The sequence below is a fragment of the Homo sapiens genome, chromosome 12 (assembly GCF_000001405.40).
Source record: "Homo sapiens chromosome 12, GRCh38.p14 Primary Assembly".
In the NCBI taxonomy this organism is placed as follows: domain Eukaryota; kingdom Metazoa; phylum Chordata; class Mammalia; order Primates; family Hominidae; genus Homo; species Homo sapiens.
Window position 1 is genome coordinate 29,317,468 of NC_000012.12, and position 18,815 is coordinate 29,336,282.

Consider the following 18,815-nt stretch of genomic DNA (forward strand, 5'->3'; position numbering starts at 1 on the left):
AGTATTTCACATAAAGGATACTCGACCTGTATAAGTTTTGAACAAAGCAGTCATAGTGAGAAGCCACAAAAGACATTAAAAATGTTCCAGCACAATAAAGGAAGGTAAATGTTAAAGAGGTTGATGAATTCAGCAAGTAATCATTCATGCGAAAAGAAAAGCAATTGAGACTCTGTCACTAGGGTTTTCTGAATAGGTAGATAATCTTAAATATACAATAATGATGACAACCTCACTTACTGAGAGTTTACTGTGGCACTCGTGGGGCTAAGGCTGATGCATGATGATCCCATTTTCATTGTCACAGCTACCCAAGGAAGATGTCCTCATCATCCCAATTTTACAAATGGGGAAATAGAAGCTAAGGAAAGAATCTGAATTAGTCTCAAAGGAAGTGACAGGAAGGATGTGGAGAAAGCCGAGTCTCAAAGTCAGTATTCGGAACCAGATTTACTGCCACCTAGAGATGAGTGAAGAAATTAGAGGGAACACAGTGTGCTGATGCTAAGGCAGCTGTCACCACCTAGCTGTGTGACACAGGACATACGCCTTTATCTGTCTCGCTTGAATAATATTATGTGTCAGAGGAGTCATTGTTATAATTGCCTAAGGCAATTCTCGTGATCAAGAATCAGAAGTATGAACAGTATTGCCTTCTGTGCTAGCCCCTTTATAAGGGAGGAAGTCTTCTTCAGCGTGTTTGTCATCTTTATTAGCAGTGCAAATGACTAAAACTTAGCCAATGTAGAGTTTATCTAAATTTTTAAAGACCTCATTTGGAGCTCATAACTCAGTTCTTGAGCAAGGTGAAAAGGAAACATTGTGATTATGGGGAAAATATTTGTATGGGGCTTATTAAATAAAGACAGGAAAAGAAGAAAACCCAAATATTGTAGGCAGAAATGCTAAAGGTTTTAAAATATATCAGGATTGGAAGAGGGCCTGCATAAAGAACAAAGTTCAGTTAGGAAAAAAGAGAAACACAGAAGGAAGAGACACAATAAAAATCTATATGTATCTTGTGAGAAGTCAAACAGTAATATTTGTGGGAAATGGGTTGGTTTGTTGTGTGGTATGTATTTTAGCAATAATCTTTATGGCAGAAAAAGCTGAAATCCTTCTAGACCCTTTCCTGCTCCAGGTGTGCTTGTGTATACTCTCCTATGCTTTTACATCCATATATGGACGTACATAGTTTGCTTTGCAGTAGGGGGGTATGTGTGTATATAAATCAATTGTACATATTTTACAACTTTTTCCACTAATTTTCCATGAAAATCTAAGTCATTCTGCCCGGTGTTGTCTTTTTTTTCTACTGCAAATAGGGCAATGAATATCAGTGTGCATGCCTCTTTGTAGAATGTGCCTGTGTCAGGAGAGGATGCTGAGGAGGGAGACTGCTGGATTGAAGAGTATGTGGAGTTTGTGACTAGTGCCAGGTGACCCTCCCTAAGGAAGAGACTGTCAATTGGCACTACCACAACAGTGTATGAAGGGTACAAAAGTCTTTTTTTTTTCTTTTTCTTTTTTCTTTTTTTTTTGAGATGGAGTCTTGCTTTGTCACCTAGGCTAGAGTGCAGTGGCGAGATCTCAGCGCACTGCAACCTCTGCCTCCTGGGTTCAAGCGATTCTCCTGCCTCAGCCTCTCGAGTAGCTGGGATTACAGGCGCCCGCCACTGTGCCTGGCTAATTTTTGTATTTTTAGCAGAGATGGGGTTTCACGATCTTGACCAGGCTGGTCTCGAACTCCTGACCTCAAGCAAGTCACCCGCCTCGGCCTCCCAAAGTGCTGGGATTACAGGCATGAGCCACCGCGCCCGGCCAAGGGGTACAAAACAGTATGTCTTACCCTCTTAATGGGGGTAAGAATACTTTGTAAAAATCAACTTCTGAATTGTCAAACTCATAAGGAATGACATCTTTTTGTTTTTTTGATTTGCATTCATGATTGCTGGAGGGGCTGGACTTTCATTCATTTATTGGACATTTAAGTTTTCCCCTCTGTGTGCTGCCTGCTTCTGCTCCCTATTTTCCTATTGGGTTGTCCTTATTAATGTATGGGAACATGTGTGTGTGAATACATATTTCATATATTTTCTCCAGGTCTGTTTCTTTTTAGCTTTGACTATAAAGCTTTTTGTAATATGAGTGAAGATACATATAATGCAGGGCTTAGGAACATGGAGTTTGGAGTCAGGCTTATAGGATTTAAATCCTGGCTTCACCAATTTAGCCATTAGAGCCCTAAATTACTTCATCTCTCTAAATCCTAACTTCCTATTCTGTAAAATGGGCACAGTAATCGTAACCTATTTTATATAGTTTAATATGAGTGCTTAGAATATAATAATCCCTATTAATACTAAAGATGTTTAAAATTTTTATGTGGTAAAATGAATCAATCATTGTTTTCCTTCAGCTTTTGCATTTTGGGTATTAAGAAGACCTTCTTGGCTGGGTGTGGTGGCTCACACCTGTAACCCCAGCAATTTTGGAGGCTGAGGAAGGAGTATCACTTAAGCCCAGGACTTCAAGACCAGACTAGGCAACATAGTGAGACCCCATCACTACAAAAATAAAATTTAAAAACGTTGTCCAGGCATGGTGGCATGTGCCTGTAGTCCCAGCTACTCAGGAGTCTGAGGCAGAAGATTGCTTGAACCCAGGAGGTCAAGGCTGCAGTGAGTCATGATTGAGCCACTGCACTACAGCCTGGGCAATAAAGCGAGACCCTGTCTCAGACAAACAATAAAGACCTTCTCTATCTGGGAGTAATACAAGTATATTTTCTAAAACATATCATTAGGTTGATATAGTTCTGTACATCCAATGATATCATGTCCAACCGTTATTTTTAACAATTAAAATAAATGTATTGAAATCATATCAATTGCATCAGAGTTGGAGAATGACTAAAGATTTAGATAATAGTAAAGTGGAACCCTATTATGGTGCTTATATCAGGCACAATGATGTCTACCTCATGCCTAAGAAATTTCCTATGATACAGTAAGAGAAATACCTCATGAGTCATTAAGTACATGGGCATTAACTTTGACCAGAAGTAAGACCAAATCCCCACAATAGCATCATAATTACTGAGCCAACTATAGTAATCACTACTGCCAAGACTGGTTAACTACAAATCAAGTGCTTTACAGGCCAAAAGTGACTTGTAGCTAAAAGACCTAGGTTGGGGATTAGCTATGGGACCTTGAGCATAATCTCTCTGTAAAATGGAGATACATAATATACATCCTGACTATCTTACAGCCATATTGTTAGGATCAAGTAAGATTGTATATGAAAGTTTTTTGTAAATTGTTATAAAGTTGGGAGGTGCACAAAGAAGATCTGGTCCAAGTCCTGACCACAAGATTGGACAGTGTGGTTCATCTTGTGTAATGGGACACAGGGTAGTGAGATTACACAGCGCAGGTTTTTTGAGGTCAGTTAAAACTGGGTTGGAATTTGACTTTGACACTTTTTATCTTAAGCTTATGTTACTCATTTGTAAAACTGCAGACTTACCTAACAAAGATGATATCAAAATTAGCAGAGAGAATACTTTGTGAAAGTATCAGGACTGTGCCTAACACAGAATAGGTTATCAACAAGAAGTTTTTTTTTTTTTTAATCTCCACTATGATTGACAACTGCTTTTGATTCAACAAACACTAATACAGTCAACACTTCTGCCCAAAAGTTACATACTAAGACCTCAGATCCTATCAACTTCTTAAAATACAAGAAAGTACAATAAAAATGAGAAATAAGGCCAGGTGCAGTGGCTCATGCCTGCAATCCCAACACTTTGGGAGGCCAAGGCAGCTGGCTCCCTTGAGCCCAGGAGTTCAAGACCAGCCTGGGCAACATGGCAAAACCCTATCTACAAAATATACAAAAAATTAGCTGGGCCCCACTGCGCTCCAGCCTGGGTGACAGAGTAAGACCCTGTCTCAAAAAGAAAGATGAGAAAGTTTTCTAATTGTCTACATCAGAATTCAAAAAATGAACAGTATGTCATTCAAGCTGAATAGTTGGCTCACTTTTAAAATAGGTTTGCTATTCTTGAGAAATAGGTGTTAGAAAAGGAGTCTGGTATTAAATGCCTAACAGAACAAGCTCCTTTAGATCCAGCCCTTTTCTTTTTCTGTTGAATGAATAGAGAGTTAATGTGGAAGGAGAAAAAAGAAGAAGAATTTTAATGAGGAGTGGTAGACAGGGATAATTTTTGTATTTTCTTAAAAATAATTTCTCATACATCCCTGTAGAGTGACAGGGAAGTGGTGCGCTGATATTTACTCCTATCTGATGGTTATCTCAGGATGACAAAGCTCATGAATCGGCTTTTAAGAACTGTTTCCATGTTGGAGTATTTCATCAACCGGAGTTGGGAATGGAGCACGTACAATACAGAAATGCTGATGTCTGAGCTGAGTCCTGAAGACCAGAGAGTAAGTAGAGCACTGACTTAAGCACCAGGAAAATGCTACTCACTTGGAATTTAGAATTATTTGATTTGGAAAGCTGATGAATGAATAAGACGTTTGGTTATAGACACAGATTTTGTTTTGCTTTGTTTTTCTAAGAAAATCAGTCAATGCTATCAACACCACCGTAGGAAACAAGTTTAATGTAAGTAAGAAATGTAGGTTCTTGGACTTTGGTTAAATCTTTAACTGCTGATCTGCCAACATGTTTTATCTACTGCACTTCAATCGTTTTGTCACTCCTTGATAGTTATCATTTCTACAAACCCTCAGTACCTCTGGGTGGCTGTGTTCTTCCCTTATCTGCCACAGCATATGACTTCAATGAAAAATAATGATTTTATTGCTTATAAACTCAATCATCCACTATTCTTGTCCAATCAAAATTGTTCTGCCTCTCCCAGCTACAGTTCCTTCCTTACCTTGTTAAAGCTAATCCCTACACCTATGCACTCTGCCTCACCTCAGACCTCCCTTCATCAGTGCTGCATCGTCGATCTCCCTCTCTATAGGATTTCTCTACAACAGTTCAGACTTTCATTTCTCAAGACAGGTCTTCAGTTTAATTCCTTAGCACCAGCACCACTTATTTCTTTAACTTCTTGGCAGTCACAAAGGATAAGTCCTAAAATCTTTGCATATTCTGAAATTCTTTTGTATATTATACATGTTCCTAGCCTTTTTCTCAGTCATGTATCCCGTTTTTAACTAAATTTTAAGGTTTTCACTCCATATTGATTGACATTTCCCACTAAGAAACAATTTTCTAAAATGTATCTTTTGTTTTATTTTGTACCTGACAGCATGTAGAAGAAACCAAGTCACACTGGGGAGTAAATATCAGATGGCTGTATTTTCCAGGTGTCATCTGTCACCCCTTTCTTTGACTAGGAAAGGGAATTCCCTGACCCCTTGCACTTCCTGGGTGAGGCGACGCCTTGCCCTGCTTCGGCTCACGCACGGTGCACTTCACCCACTGTCCTGCACCCACTGTCCGGCACTCCCCAGTGAGATGAACCCGGTACCTCAGTTGGAAATGCAGAAATCACCCGTCTTCTGCGTCGCTCACGCTGGTAGCTGTAGACTGGAGCTGTTCCTATTCGCTCTTCCAACGGGCTTAACAAATGGCACACCATGTGCGGGAGCACATGGCTTGGAGGGTCCTATGCCCATGGAGCCTCACTCATTGCTAGCACAGCAGTCTGAGATCAAACTGCAAGGCAGCAGTGAGGCTGGGGGAGGCACGCCCGCCATTGCTCAGGCCTGAGTAGGTAAACAAAGCGGCCTGGAAGCTCAAACTGGGTGGAGCCCACCACAGATCAAGGAGGCCCGCCTGCCTCTGTAGGCTCCACCTCTGGGGGCAGGGCACAGACAAACAAAAGACAGCAATAACCTCTGCAGTCTTAAATGTCCCTGTCTGACAGCTTTGAAGAGAGTAGTGGTTCCTCCAGCACGCAGCTTGAGATCTGAGAATGGGCAGACTGCCTCCTCAAGTGGGTCCCTGACCCCCAAGTAGCCTAACTGGGAGGCACCCCCCAGTAGGGGCGGACTGACACATCACACGGCCAGGTACTCCTCTGAGACAAAACTTCCAGAGGAATGATCAGGCAGCAGAATTTACGGTTCACCAATATCCGCTGTTCTGCAGCCACCGCTGCTGATACCCAGGCAAACAGGGTCTGGAGTGGACCTCCAGTAAACTCCAACAGACCTGCAGCTGAGGGTCCTGACTGTTAGAAGGAAAACTAACAAACAGAAAGGACATCCACACCAAAAACCCATCTGTATGTCACCATCATCAAAGACCAAAGGTAGATAAAACCACAAAGATGGGGAAAAAACAGAGTAGAAAAACCGGAAACGCTAAAAATCAGAGTGCCTCTCTTCCTCCAAAGGAACGCAGCTCCTCACCGGCAACGGAACAAAGCTGGACAGAGAATGACTTTGACGAGTTGAGAGAGGAAGGCTTCAGAAGATCAAATTACTCTGAGCTAAAGGAGGAAGTTCGAACCAATGGCAAAGAAGTTAAAAACTTTGAAAAAAAAATTAGACGAATGGATAACTAGAATACCCAATGCAGACAAGTCCTTAAAGGAGCTGATGGAGCTGAAAGCCAAGGCTCGAGAACTACGTGACGAATGCACAAGCCTCAGTAACCGATGCGATCAACTGGAAGAAAGGGTGTCAGCGATGGAAGACGAAATGAATGAAATGAAGCGTGAAGAGAAGTTTAGAGAAAAAAGAATAAAAAGAAACGACCAAAGCCTCCAAGAAATATGGGACTATGTGAAAAGACCAAATCTACGTCTGATTGGTGTACCTGAAAGTGACGGGGAGAATGGAACCAAGATGGAAAACACTCTGCAGGGTATTATCCAGGAGAACTTCCCCAATCTAGCAAGGCAGGCCAACATTCAAATTCAGGAAATACAGAGAATGCCACAAAGATACTCCTCGAGAAGAGCAACTCCAAAACACATAATTGTCAGATTCACCAAAGTTGAAATGAAGGAAAAAAGTGTTAAGAGCAGCCAGAGAGAAAGGTCGGGTTACCCACAAAGGGAAGCCCATCAGACTAACAGATGATCTCTCGGCAGAAACTCTACAAGCCAGAAGAGAGTGGGGGCCGACATTCAACATTCTTAAAGAAAAGAATTTTCAACCCAGAATTTCATATCCAGCCAAACTAAGCTTCATAAGTGAAGGAGAAATAAAATACTTTACAGACAAGCAAATGCTGAGAGATTTTGTCACCACCAGGCCTGCCCTAAAAGAGCTCCTGAAGGAAGCACTAAACATGGAAAGGAACAACTGATACCAGCCACTGCAAAAACATGCCAAATTGTAAGGATCATCAAGGCTAGGAAGAAACTGCATCAACTAACGAGCAAAATAACCAGCTAACATCATGATGACAGGCTCAAATTCACACATAACAATACTAACCTTAAATGTAAATGGGCTAAATGCTCCAATTAAAAGGCACAGACTGGCAAATTGGATAAAGAGTCAAGAACCATCAGTGTGCTGTATTCAGGAAACCCATCTCATGTGCAGAGACACACATAGGCTCAAAATAAAGGGATGGAGGAAGATCTACCAAGCAAATGGAAAACAAAAAAAGGCAGGGGTTGCAATCCTAGTCTCTGATAAAACAGACTTTAAACCAACAAAGATCAAAAGAGACAAAGAAGGCCATTACATAATGGTAAAGGGATCAATTCAGCAAGAAGAGCTAACTATCCTAAATATATATGCACCCAATACAGGAGCACCCAGATTCATAAAGCAAGCCCTTAGTGACCTACAAAGAGACTTAGACTCCCATACAATAATAATGGGGGACTTTAACACCCCACTGTCAACATTAGACAGATCAATGACACAGAAAGTTAACAAGGATATCCAGGAATTGAACTCAGCTCTGCACCAAGCAGACCTAATAGACATCTACAGAACTCTCCACCCCAAATCAACAGAATATACATTATTTCCAGCACCACACCACACCTATTCCAAAATTGACCACATAGTTGGAAGTAAAACACTCCTCAGCAAATGTAAAAGAACAGAAATTATAATGAACTGTCTCTCAGACCATAGTGCAATCAAACTAGAACTCAGGATTAGGAAACTCACTCAAAACCACTCAACTACATGGGAACTGAACAACCTGCTCCTCAGTGACTACTGGGTACATAACGAAATGAAGGCAGAAATAAAGACATTCTTTGAAACCAACGAGAACAAAGACACAACATACCAGAATTTCTGGGACACATTCAAAGCAGTGTGTAGAGGGAAATTTATAGCACTAAATGCCCACAAGAGAAAGCAAGAAAGATCTAAAATTGACACCCTAACATCACAATTAAAAGAACTAGAGAAGCAAGAGCAAACACATTCAAAAGCTAGCAGAAGGCAAGAAACAACTAAGAGCAGAGCAGAACTGAAGGAAATAGAGACCCAAAAAAACCCTTCAAAAAATCAGTGAATCCAGGAGCTGGTTTTTTGAAAAGATCAACAAAATTGATAGACTGCTAGCAAGACTAATAAAGAAGAAAAGAGAGAAGAATCAAATAGACGCAATAAAAAATGACAAAGGGGATATCACCACCGATCCCACAGAAATACAAACTACCATCAGAGAATACTATAAACACCTCTATGCAAATAAACTAGAAAATCTAGAAGAAATGGATAAATTCCTCGACACATACACCCTCCCAAGACTAAACCAGGAAGAAGCTGAATCTCTGAATAGACCAATAACAGGCTCTGAAATTGAGGCAATAATTAATAGCTTACCAACCAAAAAAAGTCCAGGACCAGATGGATTCACAGCCGAATTCTACCAGAGTTACGAGGAGGACCTGGTACCATTCCTTCTGAAACTATTCCAATCAATAGAAAAAGAGGGAATCCTCCCTAACTCATTTTATGAGGCCAGCATCATCCTGATACCAAAGCCTGGCAGAGACACAACAAAAAAAGAGAATTTTAGACCAATATCCTTGATGAACATTGATGCAAAAATCCTCAATAAAATACTGGCAAACCAAATCCAGCAACACATCAAAAAGCTTATCCACCATGATCAAGTGGGCTTCATCCCTGGGATGCAAGGCTGGTTCAACATATGAAAATCAATAAACGTAATCCTGCATATAAACTGAACCAAAGACATAAACCACATGATTAGCTCAATAGACGGAGAAAAGGCCTTTGACAAAATTCAACAACACTTCATGCTAAAAACTCTCAATAAATTAGGTATTGATGGGACGTATCTCAAAATAATAAGAGCTATCTATGAAAAACCCACAGCCAATATCATACTGAATGGACAAAAACTGGAAGCATTCCCTTTGAAAACTGGCACAAGACAGGGATGCCCTCTCTCACCACTCCTATTCAACATAGTGTTGGAAGTTCTGGCCAGGGCAATCAGGCAGGAGAAGGAAATAAAGGGCATTCAATTAGGAAAAGAGGAAGTCAAATTGTCCCTGTTTGCAGATGACATGATTGTTTATCTAGAAAACCCCATCATCTCAGCCCAAAATCTCCTTAAGCTGATAAGCAACTTCAGCAAAGTCTCAGGATAAAAACTCAATGTGCAAAAATCACAAGTATACCTATACACCAATGACAGACAAATGGAGAGCCAAATCATGAGTAAACACCCATTCATAATTGCTACAAAGAGAATAAAATACCTAGGAATCCAACTTACAAGGGATATGAAGGACCTCTTCAAGGAAAACTACAAACCACTGCTCAATGAAATAAAAGAAGATACAAACAAATGGAAGAACATTCCATGCTCATGGGTAGGAAGAATCAATATCGTGAAAATGGCCATACTGCCCAAGGTAATTTATAGATTCAATGCCATCCCCATCAAGCTACCAAAGACTTTCTTCACAGAATTGGAAAAAACTACTTTAAAGTTCATATGGAACCAAAAAAGAGCCCGCATTGCCAAGTCAATCCTAAACCAAAAGAACAAAACTGGAGGCATCAGGCTACCTGACTTCAAACTATACTACAAGGCTACAGTAACCAAAACAGCATGGTACTGGCACCAAAACAGAGATAGAGACCAATGGAACAGAACAGAGCCCTCAGAAACAATGCTGCATATCTACAACTATCTGATCTTTGACAAACCTGACAAAAACAAGAAATGGGGAAAGGATTCCCTATTTAATAAATGGTGCTGGGAAAACTGGCTAGCCATATGGAGAAAGCTGAAACTGGATCCCTTCCTTACACCTTATACAAAAATCAATTCAAGATGGATTAAAGACTTACACGTTAGACCTAAAACCATAAAAACCCTAGAAGAAAACCTAGGCAATACCATTCAGGACACAGGCATGGGGAAGGACTTCATGTCTAAAACACCAAAAGCAATGGCAACAAAAGCCAAAATTGACAAATGGGATCTAATTAAACTAAAGAGCTTCTGCACAGCAAAAGAAACCACCATCAGAGTAAACAGGCAACCTACAGAATGGGAGAAAATTTTTGCAACCTACTCATCTGACAAAGGGCTAATATCCAGAATCTACAATGAACTCAAACAAATTTACAAGAAAAAAACAAACAACCCCATCAAAAAGTGGGCTAAGGATATGAACAGACACTTCTCAAAAGAAGACATTTATGCAGCCAAAAAACACATGAAAAAATGCTCATCATCACTGGCCATCAGAGAAATGCAAATCAAAACCACAATGAGATACCATCTCACACCAGTTAGAATGGCAATCATTAAAAAGTCAGGAAACAACAGATGCTGGAGAGGATGTGGAGAAATAGGAACACTTTTACACTGTTGGTGGGACTGTAAACTAGTTCAACCATTGTGGAAGTTGGTGTGGCGATTCCTCAGGGATCTAGAGCTAGAAATACCATTTGACCCAGCCATCCCATTACTGGGTATATACCCAAAGGATTATAAATCATGCTGCTATAAAGACATATGTTTATTGTGGCACTAGTCACAATGGCAAAGACTTGGAACCAACCCAAATGTCCAACAATGATGGACTGGATAAAGAAAATGTGGCACATATACACCATGGAATACTATGCAACCATAAAAAATGAGTTCATGTCCTTTGTAGGGACATGGATGAAGCTGGAAACCATCATTCTCAGCAAACTATCGCAAGGACAAAAAACCAAACACCGCATGTTCTCACTCATAGGTGGGAATTGAACAATGAGAACACATGGACACAGGAAGGGGAACATCACACACCGGGGCCTGTTGTGGAGTGGGGGGAGGGGGGAGGGATAGCATTAGGAGATATACGTAATGCTAAATGACGAGTTAATGCGTGCAGCACACCAACATGGCACATGTATACATATGTAACAAGCCTGCACGTTATGCACACGTATCCTAAAACTTAAAATATAATAATAATTAAAAAAAAGAAAAAAAAACAATATATCAGATGGCTAACTGACCTTGCTTGCCAGCTAAGGGTTTCACTTCTACATACCAAACTTACTGAGTGTGATTCAAATCCAAGCCCTAGAATTATTTCCTAAGCATTATCCATGTCAAATACAATAAATATTATATTAGGCACAAAAGGCAAGATTTAGAGGGATATTTTATCTGAAATCATTGCTCCCTCTCAAAGTGACATGAAATAGTTATTCAGAAATGTTTACATATCACATATAGACAAAATTCTTCAAACTAGTGTTTGAAATGATGATTAAGCCAGTTTATAAATCAAAAACAAATCAACAAATTCAAGCTATTGTAAGTTCTTTTAAAATTTAGCTTTAAACTCTATGTAGGCTTATCCTTATGTATTTTCTCCATGGAATTTTCCTGCCGAAATAACTCAAAAGGTAATGAGCTTGGTTTCATTTCTGACATTTTACTATTTTAACCTTTCAAAATTTTATGAAAAAGAATCAAAGCTTCAGTGGATTTAACATATGCTCTCAAAAATATCTTAGCAAAAGTAATAGTACTAAATGTAATTACCAAATTCTGGTGTGGCTCAAAATTCAGTTTGAATTGCCATATGGAATCAGGATTCTGAACAGGGCCACTTTGAAATCAAACTTAGAAATGTTAAACACTATAAAAATAAAAGCCTCTGCTTATATGAATGACTAAGCAATATTAATGATACTATGAAAACCATATCCAATCAAAGTGATAATGGAATTTCTTTCAAAAAGCAATTCAGCTTTTGGACAAGTCTTTGAAGCTCTCTGGAACAATCGCATCTGCTCTCTTTATTAATACTCCAAATCTCACAAAGGTTTGAGGTATCTTGCAAAAAAATACATATAATGAAAGAACAAAATAGAAATAAAATAAAATGCAAAACCAAGGAAAATATGAATCAGAATATGAAGTCACAGCTAAAAATTTAAAAAGAGAATGCCCATACATAATCTACAAGATCCTACTAAGTTGCTGTAGTTAATTTAAGCAGTGAATTTGTTCTTGAGCTTTCTGGTAGTAAAGTGAAAAGGAAAATATAGTTTCATAGGACTCGTTGTTCAAAAGGAAGAATGAATTAGAAAAAGTTATCTAAAGCAAATACATTTATGACTTTTTTTTTTTTTTTTTTGAGACCATGTCTTGCTCTGTTGCCCAGGCTGGAGTGCAGTGGCAAGATCTTGGCTCACTGCAACCTCCGCCTCCCGGGTTCAAGCGCGTCTCCTGTCTCAACCTCCCAAGTAGCTGCGACTACAGGCGCATGCCACGACGCCTGGCTAATTTTTGTATTTTTAGTACAGACGGGGTATCACGATATTGGTCAGGCGGGTCTTGAACTCCTGACCTCAGGTGATCTGCCCGCCTCGACCTCCCAAAGTGTTGAGATTACAGGCATGAGCCACCACGCCTGGCCCATTTATGATTTTTAAAAAGTTATTTCTTGTCATGTTTCTCCATGCAAGTTGAGAGGATAAAGCAAAAGCAATATGCACAATGAATCAGCAAAGGGCTCATTATTAAATGTTTACTGAATGCCTAGAATGTTAAATAGGGATAATAATATTTAGTTACTTTCCTCCGAGTTCTAAGATGGTTTTCTGTGATTAAAATATAACATTTAATTTGCATATAAAGGAGAAAGAATCGAGTAGCCTTAGAGAACTACTAAATCTTTAAGATGTCAAATTCAATTACATTCTTTAGAAGTGTAATATTTCCTGAAGAGAAAAAGAGCTAAATATAGACTCTGGAGGAAAGATGCAATTTATGAATTAAACCCAAGAGATTCTCAGAAAATCGTGTAGCCATTTTAAAGTTAACAAACTTGACCTTTAGTGGTGATTGGCTTTTTGGTTTTGATAATATATGCCTTTTATTTGGTACCATCTAAGCCTCGATCAAAGACTGATTGTCTGAAAAAAGGAAACTAAGAGTTTACTTTGGTCATATTCATGTAAAGCTTATATACAGACTAAATAGAATAAATTGTTGTGTAACAAAAAAGAAACACTTTTGGTGTTCAAAATTAATATTTAAATTAATTTGACCTAAATTCTATAATTCATTAATAGCAAGTATTTATTGAATGTCTACTTTGTGCCATTCAAAGGAACATCATTCTTGTTGTTCTAGGAATATCATTTATTTGAATTAAGCCATTTTAGCTATTAAAGTCCTTCCTAGTGAGGCCTCACCAGAAGTTAAGTAAGTTAAGAGTAACGAGCAACTTTCTTTCACTGTACGTGAAACTCTCCACTAAAGATAGGCTTTTTTTTTTTTTTAATGTCCAGGGATGAATAGACAAAAAGTGATCTGAGAGTGCTGTATGTCCAAGGAGAGAGAAGAGTGCCCAATTGGAAGGACAAAAGCACCTTAAACACACCCTCCACTTGCTAAGATTTATAAATATTAGACTTTTTAAATGCTAGCACAAGTCCATTTTCCAGGCCATTCTCTCCAAATACATGAAATAAAACTCTATTGAACCAAATCCACTCACTGATGCAATCTTTTATTTGATAACAGGGTCATACCAAACTCTCCAAGAATACCTAATACTTGAAATATTTCCAGAGATGATACCAGAATCTTCTTGACACTCTTTCTACTAACAAGTTTTAGTGCCCTAAGTTCTTTATATTCAATCAAAACTATTTTTTCTAATATATTTGAAGATCATTTCCCTCCCTTTCTTTCTCCAATTAGGCCCTTTATATGGAGATTTTGAAAAGATCCCTGGATGGCTCAAGAATGACCTATCAGGTTTCTCTTCCTAACTCATCCTATCTCCATTTGTAATCCATATAAATCTGGGCCACCTCCTGATCCTGTGTCAGCTCAGCATCATTTTCAAAGTACACAAAAAATAAAATCTATGGAATGCAATTCAAATCTTTACTCCAGCTTTTCCATAACAAACCAAAAAAAGAATACATTTTTGGTTATGCAAGTGTTTTTCTTTTCTCTTCCTCAAAGATACCTTAAAAATTTTTTAATCATTTTTCTTTATTGTCACTCTCTGTATCTGTCTTCTATGTGGCACAACTTCTCTCCCTAAACAGATCAATCTCTTCCTTCTCCTTCTTCCCTACTCCTCCCCCATGTTGTGATCACTCCTTTTTTCTTTCACTACCAATCACTCTCTTCTTAAATATAAATTCTGGTAACTTATTCCTTAAGGCTTTGCTTCCCAAAGTTTAATCTGCATAATGAAATGGTAATGCTGTAGGAAAGGATGGTAGAACAAAGGGATAACACCAAAATTTAAGAGGAAAGGGAAAGTTGCATCATTTATGTTTTGGTCACTAACATATTATTCTATCACTTTTAAAAATAATTACTCCTCGGTTAGCTGAAATATATACCAAGCCAACCATAAGTTTTCACCAGACTATGTAATACTATTTCCTTTAAATCTCCCTCACAAGAAATGTGAAGTGTTTGTGTTTGATCCATGTTTAAATATTCCTATGTAAATAGTAATCCATATTATCAGTACCTTTGAAATAATGACTCAAATAATCTCTCCTTTGGAGAGGGTCCAACCTATGTCTCCCAAATTGAAGGTCACTCGTCTATGTAGAAGAAACCTCAAGTGGACAAAGTGACTGTCCAGCACTGCAATTCTGGCAATCTATAATCTCTCTTGCCTCTCAGGTATTCAACTTTGACGTGCGCCAGTTGAACTGGTTGGAATACATTGAAAATTATGTTTTGGGAGTTAAAAAATACTTATTGAAAGAGGATATGGCTGGGATCCCAAAAGCAAAGCAACGCTTAAAAAGGTAAGTATAATCAGTCAGTTAATATTTATTGAGCACCTACTGTGCATCGACTTTATACCAGACATAACATTTGTGCAGAGGAGAATGAACATTTCTTGAGCATTTACTACATTACAGGTCCTGCACTCCATACTCTACCCTGTAACACAGTTTCATTTAGACTTCACCACACCTCTATGAGGCAAGTATTACTTTTGTTACCCCATTTTTATGAGGCAGATATCTAGATTTAAACACAGCAAATAACTTGCCCATGGTAATTGCATAGTAAGTCTAAGAGCCAGATTTGAACCCAAATTTGTTTCTTCTACCACACTCTGTCATAATGGGATATAAATACCCAACAGGCAGGAGACCTGATTATGCTATTTAACCTAGAAAAAAGTCACTCCTCAATTTTTTCAACTTTCTTAAATTTCTTTCAGTCGTAATCCCTGAGGGACAAGGAATTCTAGCACTCTGGTATAATCCTGGTAGAAGCAGAGGATCTGTAGTGCAGAGATGATAAGGATAAAAAAGTAGCTTGCAAAACAGGAAGGAGGAACCTTGAATAGCAAGCCAAGAACTTTAGAATTTACCTTCTAATGAACAAGAACCAGTGAAGATTTATGATGTGGTAACATGACCAAAGTATATTTACAAGATTATGCTAGTCATGCTTGTAAATAGTTTCAAGTGGAGAGAGGTATAAGAGAAATTAGGGAAATATGGTAGAAATCTGACTATTCAGCAAGAATGCTGTGGAAATGAAAGACGCAGAAACCAATTGGCCAAGTTATATCAAATACTCTGAGCACTTCATAAATACTTGCCAGTCATATCCAGGAAAACACATATTTATCTTCAGATAATGTGGTTGGGTATCTGGTAGTTTTAACTTTGGTTATGTCTGTCTGTTCCCTAGGCTCCGAAATATTCACTACCTCTTTAATACTGCCCTCTTCCTTATCGCCTGGCGCCTTCTCATTGCAAGATCTCAGATGGCTCGGAATGTCTGGTTCTTCATTGTAAGCTTCTGTTATAAATTCCTCTCCTACTTTAGAGCATCCAGCACGCTCAAAGTTTAAGAGCATTTAGCCATCGCTTTTTATCTGGAACCTCTCAGATACCTCTAAAACAGCAAACTGTGATTCTCAAGATTAGAAAGTAACAAGGAATATGCCCAAACTGTCAAATGTCACCTGTTATGTATTCGTCCCTATTCCTTAACTATGTATTTTTATTTCAGTGAGAGAAGGAAAGTTGTAAACTAGCCCATAGTCACCTATATTTTAGGGAAAAAAATCCAAATTGTTTCCTAACATTCTATTTTATGCCCTTGCGTATTAAACGTGAAAGTACTCCCACTTTTCTATATTTAGTTTTTCTTTTCTCTCTGAGATGATTCATTTAAACTCAGTAAATATGGAAAGATGCATGGCAGAAGCTGAAATGAGCTCAAGCAGTACTAACCTTGGAACCATTCTGGGTACCCAAAAGAAAAATTTAAAATCAAGATGAGTAAAAGGAGAATGGTCTCAATATCCTCAAAAATGCAGTAAGAGAAGTAATTCCCCACTGAAAATGTCTCTCTTTCTTTCTATGTTATACCCTGGAGTCCTGGTTGAGGGGTGGGGGAATCAGAAAAGTAGGTTTACATTTAACATTTTTCTTAACTACATTCACTTCTTAAAAAGGAACAAGAAGTGTAAATAAGTATGTATAGAGTGAGGGATTAAGCATATTTGCATTGGGGACTCGTGTATTATGCTTTTAAGTCAAAATTAATATTCTCAAATTCGAATTTGATAGCTATTATTTCTAAATCTTTTTAATCCTCAATTTTCCTGGTAACCTTCTTTCAAGAGTCTCCTTCTTCTAAAAGTTGCCAAACCCTTTATATTTAAGCTTTTTCCACTCAGGACTCAATTAGAGTGGTCAACAGGGAGAGGGATGGTCCCATTTGATCTTTGCCACTGAGCAAAACAAAACTTCAAATGAACTTTTAAACTGTAGCTTTAGTCTTCTGGTATAAAGTGGGGAAGATTACACTTATGTGATCACCAAAGGATTTACTAGTATCTTGGTCATTCCAATTGCACAATGTTAACTGTACAACACACAGCAGAAAAGTGAATAGACTTCACTAAGGGATTCTAAGTTTAGAAAATAGGTTTTGTTTTCTTAAAAAATTTTGTGTATAATACAAACTAATGAAAACTATACATATTCTCCAATTCCTATAGTAATAATAATGTAACTGTTACACCAACTTTCCTCATATTTGAGAGATGAGTACATGTTGGATTGCAGCATTTCTTCATGTTAAAAACATGGAATATTATTCAAATATAGTACTTGGGGCCTAAACAACTAAAATTAGTCACCGCATAACTAGTTGAAAATGGCATAGGCATAAAATGTTAATAAAGAATGGCAGTTATATTTATGCTCACTTCCTGGAGTAATTGGGTAATATTCAGAAAGGCACATCGTGGTAGTTTAAGTGTACAAGGCCTTAGGGCAGTATCTAGCCCAGTATTATTCCAGATTCTCCTGAGCTCTATATAAAGGGCATTTTGGAGGAACTCTTCTGGGCAATATCTTTCCCAATCTCATCTAAATTCTGGGAAATATTTTCCATAGCAGACAACCCAGCTCTGAAACTAAGCACCTGGTGATCTTTAGTTTGAGATGTCTATATGGTACTTTTGAGTTATATCAATTAAGATACAAGCTATAGACATGATAAAAATATGAAATCAAGATATAGCTCAGTGGGATTGGATTAAGACATAATAATAGTTCTAAGAATTCACTTTTGATTGTATGTTTTACCAATTCAATAATTCCACTAATCAAGTATTCACATTTTGACTTTTGATTAAATAAAAATTTGAATTAAAATTATTCCCCTCTTCTAGTGTTGTCTTTAACCGTTGACTACCGCAGCACTTCTCCCTCCTTTACACCCCCTGCACCCCACCCCCCAAGCCCCCAGAAAAAGGAAATAACTTCCAAAGAACTCTTTCCACCAAATCACATCACAGGAATAACTATCAGATGAATATAAATTAACCTTTAGCTACATAATGCTTCACTTTTTCTAACACCATTAATACGGCTATTTTGACATGAGTAGTCTTCTATTTGTGGCATCAGATAAATGACACAAAGTTCTCTTGTGATGATTAGGCAGTAAAAACAGGTATCTGTATGAAGGGAAATCTCTAGCATATAACTATTTCACATCAAGACCAATTAGCAATTACTTGAATGCCTAATATAAACAAAGCAATGGGAAAGAACCTTCTACTTAGGGGAAAAGAAGATGGAAAGTACAAAGAAAAGGTACCTATGTTTCAAAAGTTTTGGCAATCCCTATATTCTCTACCCACAAGATACCTGATACAGTATCAAGTATTACAGAGTTGAAGAGTCACGGCCTGAGGCAACTAATACTAGAAAAAGTTAAGGCAAATGGGCACACAATTCAGAAAAACACTTCTTGCGATTTTCAACTAACATCATTACTTCCATTTAACACCTCATGTAATTAACTTAGTATCTCAAGGT

General features: G+C 38.2%; 1 protein-coding gene and 1 long non-coding RNA gene across 6 annotated transcripts in view; one reads left to right on the forward strand and one right to left on the reverse strand.

Annotated features, from left to right (window-relative positions):
• Positions 1 to 381, reverse strand: part of FAR2-AS1 (FAR2 antisense RNA 1) — a 37,434-nt gene extending 37,053 nt beyond the window's left edge. Inside the window, exon 1 of the long non-coding RNA NR_103860.1 lies at positions 241 to 381. This is a non-coding gene — a long non-coding RNA (FAR2 antisense RNA 1). The remainder of the gene's footprint in view (positions 1 to 240) is intronic.
• Positions 1 to 18,149, forward strand: part of FAR2 (fatty acyl-CoA reductase 2) — a 186,339-nt gene extending 168,190 nt beyond the window's left edge. For 4 of the 5 annotated variants that reach the window (NM_001271783.2, XM_011520747.3, NM_018099.5 and 1 more), the window contains 3 exons: positions 4,328 to 4,457; positions 15,133 to 15,260; positions 16,165 to 18,149. In NM_001271783.2, the coding sequence (NP_001258712.1) occupies positions 4,328 to 4,457; positions 15,133 to 15,260; positions 16,165 to 16,327 (421 nt within the window). In that variant the 3' untranslated portion in view covers positions 16,328 to 18,149. Of the gene's footprint in view, positions 1 to 4,327; positions 4,458 to 15,132; positions 15,261 to 15,377 lie in introns of all 5 variants that reach the window. The other variant, XM_011520748.4, reaches the window with a different exon arrangement.
• Positions 18,150 to 18,815: the final 666 nt, after the last annotated feature.